Source organism: Homo sapiens, chromosome 3 (genome assembly GCF_000001405.40).
Source record: "Homo sapiens chromosome 3, GRCh38.p14 Primary Assembly".
NCBI lineage: Eukaryota > Metazoa > Chordata > Mammalia > Primates > Hominidae > Homo > Homo sapiens.
Window position 1 is genome coordinate 115,515,247 of NC_000003.12, and position 4,514 is coordinate 115,519,760.

The 4,514-nt window shown below is 43.2% G+C and overlaps 1 annotated feature.

The window, feature by feature from the left end:
• Positions 3,222 to 3,775: an enhancer, noted in NCBI's record as "OCT4-NANOG hESC enhancer chr3:115237315-115237868 (GRCh37/hg19 assembly coordinates)". NCBI's record gives its function as "activates a minimal SCP1, AML or CMV promoter by ChIP-STARR-seq in naive H9 embryonic stem cells {active_cell/tissue: H9 hESC(naive)}" and the evidence as "EXISTENCE:reporter gene assay evidence [ECO:0000049][PMID:30033119]".

A 4,514-nucleotide genomic window follows, 5' to 3' on the forward strand; every position in this document is an offset into this window, starting at 1 on the left:
AAATACCTGAGACTGGGTAATTTATAAGGAAAAGAAGTTTAATTGGTTCATGGTTCCACAGGCTGTACAGGAGGTATAGCAGCTTCTGTTTCTGGATAGGCCTCAGGAAGCTTACAATCATGACTTAAGGCAAAGGGAGAGTGAGGCACTTCACCCAACCAGAGCAGAAGGAAGCAAGAGAGGTGGGGCAGGTGCCACACATTTTTAAACAACCAGATCTCAGGAGAACTCTCTCACTATGGCAACACGTACCAAGGCAGAAATCTGCTCCCATGAGCCAATTATCTCCCACCAGGCTCTACCTCTGACATTGGGGATTACAGCTCCACATTTGTAATTTCCTAGAGACTTGTTGATAGTTGTGACCCAAATGCTGATAGTGATATGGACAATGAAGTACAGGCTGAGGAGGTCTCATATGGAAATGAGGAACTTATTGGGAACTGGAGTAGAGATCACTTTTGCTATGCTTTAGCAAAGAGCCTGGCTGCATTGTGCCCCTACTCTAGGGATCTGTGAAACTTTGCCCTTGAGAGTGATGATTTAGGGTATGTGGCAGAAGAAATTCTAAGCAGCAGAGTGTTCAAGATATGACATGGCTAATAGCCTATGCTCATATGTGTGAGCTAAGAAATGATCTAAAGTTGGAACTTAGGGTGAGATTTGGGTGGGGACACAGATCTGAATTATATCATTCTGCCCCAGGCCCCTCCCAAATCTCATGTCCTTCTCACAGTGCAAAATCCAATCATGCCTTCCCAACAGTCTCCCAAAATCTTAACTCTTTCCAGTGTTAAGTCAAAAGTCCACAGCTCAGAGTCTCATCTGAGACAAGGCTAGGCACTTCCGCCTATGAGCATGTAAAATCAAAAACAAGTTAGTTACTCCTAAGATAAAATGTGGTTGTAGGCATTGGGTGAATACTCCCACTCCAAAAGGGAGCCAGAAGAAGGGGACTACAGGCCCCATGCAAGTCTGAAACCCAGCAGGGCAGTCATTAAACTTTAAAGCTCCAAAATAATGTTCCTTGACTCCATATCCCAAATCCAGCACACACTGGTATAAGGGGTGGGCTCCCAAGGCCTTGGACAGCTCCACCCCTGTGGCTTTACAGGGATCAGCCCCTGCAGTTGCTCTCATGGGCTGTTGTTGAGTGCGTGCAGCTTTTCTAAGCTCAGGGTGCAAGCTGCTGGTGGATTTACCATTCTGGGTCTGGGGTCTTACAGTTCCAGTAGTGGGGACTCTGTGTGGGGGCTCCAACTCCCACATTTTCCCTCTGTATTGACCTAGCAGAGGTTCTCTGTGAGGACTCTGCCACTGCAGCAGGTTTCTGCCTGGACATCCAGACTTTTCCATACATCCTCTGAAATATAGGTGGAGGCTCCAAAGCCTCAACTCTTGCATTCTGAGCACCTGCAGGCTTAACACCACGTGGAAGCCACCAAGGCTTATGGCTTGCACCCTCTGAAGCAGCAGCTTGAGCTATACCTGGGCCCCTTTTAGCCATGGCTGGAGCTGGAGTGGCTAGGATTCAGGGAGCAGTATCCTGAGGCTTTCTAGGCCAACAGGGCCCTGGGCCTGGCCTATGAAACCATTCTTCCTTCCCAGGCCTCTGAGCATGTTATAGGAGGGGCTGCTGTGAAGGTCTCCGAAATGTCTTTGTGGCCTTTTTCCCATAGTCTTAGCTATTAGTTCTTGGTTCCATTTTACTTATGCAAATTTCTGCAACTTGCTGGAAATTCCTCCCCTGAAAATGGGCTTTTCTTTTCTACCACATGGCTAGGCTCCAAATTTTCTGAACTTTTATGCTCTGCTTCCCTTTTAATGTAAGTTTCAACTTTAGGTCACTTATTAGCTCACACATATAAGCATCGGTTGTTAGCCAGGTCACATCTCGAACACTTTGCTGCTTAGAAATTTCTTCTGCCACATACCCTAAATCATCACTCTCAAGTGCAAAGTTCCACAGATCCCTAGGGCAAGGGGAAAATGCAACCAGGCTATTTGCTAAAGCACATCAAAAGTGATCTTTACTCCAGTTCCCAATAAGTTTCTCATTTCCATCTGAGACCTCCTTAGCCTGGACTTCATTATCCATATCACTATCAGCATATGGATATGCTGCTATAAAGAAATACTTAAGACTGGGTGATTTATAAAGAGAAGAGGTTTAATTGGCTCAGAGTTCCACAGGCTGTACGGGAAGCATAGCAGCTTCTGCTTCTGAGGAGGCCTCAGGAAGCTTACAATCATGGTGGAAGGCAAAGGGGGAGTGAGCCTATTAATATGGCTGGAGAAGGAGGAAGACAGCAAGGTCGGGGGGAGGTGCTACACACTTTCAAACAACCAGATCTCACGAGAACACACTCACTATCACAACACAGTACCAAGGGGGAAATCCCCTCCCATGATCCAGTCACTTCCCACAAGGCCCCACCTGCAACACTGAGAACTGTAATTTGACATGAGATTTGGGTGCAGACCCAGTTCCAAACCATATTGATCCTCTGGTTTACTCTCATTTTAATTTGAAATGGAAACCTTTTCATTTCACAGATGAGAAAGCAAGAGCCAGGAGGAAATGAGTGACTTTTCTAATATCACAGTCATTTAGAGACTGTGATAAAGGCAAGGTTGGAGCCCAGGTTTCCTTACTGCTAGTCCAGTGATAGTTCTGTTACATCATTTCTTATACCTATAAAGGCTGACTGAACCCAAAGTTCCTTTGAAATGTAAATACTATTCCATTTGTACTTTAACGTCTAACAGAATTGTATTTTTACATTTATATTGTTTATTAGCAGCACGCAAAGTGTTTTATCTAATTTAACCCTTGTATGAATCTGCAATAAGTAAATATCAGCTAAAAAATGGCCTGCCTGGGACTTATCTACTTTTTATATATGATATATTTTTTCTACAAATACCCGTTTCTTATTTGTGAATACTAGGTGAATTAAAAATAAAATAAATAGACCATGCTGTTTCTACTCTTCTCCACCATACTGTCAACTAGGAACTCGTTGTGCTTTAAGAAAATAGAACAGAAGTGGGAGGAATGGGCAGCCTGACAATTAAAGCAAGCAAGAAAGAAAAAATGGTGTGGACAGCTTTTGCAAGTTTGTGCCGTAGATGATAGTGGTTAAATTTGCTTGTTATTCTAGACATCTGTAATAGAGGAGGTATTACCTCCAGTTGTTTCTGCAGTGGTGACCCTTGTTAGTTTGAGAAAGTTCTTTTTGAGGCTGATGAATTCAGTTCCCAGAAAAAGACACAGGACTCATGTTGGGGAATAGGAGCACCTCCTCCCTACCATGAACTGCACTCTCAGAGGCCCAGCCATCCCTGGCAGGATGGTTTCAATCACTCCTGCCATCCAGTCATCGCTGACACTTCTTGGCAGGCAGCCTGCCTCTAATGGAATGTGTCCTGCAGCTGGGAATTAGGTCATCAGTAATTTACTTAATAGCATTTTATGAGCTGGGCTCTGACAAAAGAGAGTGATCTGGCCTTAACAGCAGGAGCTTTCCTTGATGTGAGGGGAAGGAGGGAAGAGAGTATAGCATTGTGAATAATCAGACACTACATTTCCTGAAAGTAATGGGTGAGGGTAAGAAAATCTGGGTGTTTCTTCAGACTTCCTATGTGATCAGGTAAGATACATACCTTGGGCAAGGTACTTCTTGTTTCTGGACTTTAGTTCCTCTAAAGTCTTATACAACTCTAATATCATATACTTCTGACTCTAAAGAACTCTTTATGAAAATTGGAAGATACAGAATTTGACAGGTCATCACCCCCTCTTCCCTGATGGTGCTCTATGGAAGGAGAGATAGGTAATCCCACTCTTCTGCCATTAGTGTGCTTTGAAATGAAAAGCACTGTGTTGTAGAGTTTGCTAATTTTCCTGGTGTAAGTATTCTCAACATGGCTGATTTCAAGCTGCCAATGCTTTAACAATTAGCAAAACTTTTGAAAACTGAACAATTAGCTTCTATGGGCTGGTATGAGTTGCTCCAGTACATCACTAGTTCTCTCCCATCTAGATAAAGCTGCATCAATGAATAGTCTCCCGTATGTAGACACATAACTGGATTGTTCACACACTAAGATATGTGCCATATATATCTTTGTTTTGGTTTTGGATGAAAAGATATTCACAACTTCTCTTTGATTCTATTCCAGTTGCTATTCTTAATTTATGTGAAGCCCTCTCAGAAAACATGTGAATTCTTATTAGGAAACTGTCCAGTTTATATAGCTCTTCATCTGAATTCCCATTTCTTCCACCACTGCTCTGATGCTCCCAGGGATGTTCAGGGAGCCATTTGACCCTTCATATTTTCTTCTGACCCCTAGGACCCCATGTTCTTTCTGTTGGAAAACCCAATATACATCTCATGAATGTTCAGAAGGTTTGCTGTTGCTATACAGGGTTTAAAATTTGAAAAAGAATCACTGGAATCCTTCCTCCTTTTCACTGGGTGTGAAAGAAACCCTTTTGGGTTCTGAAA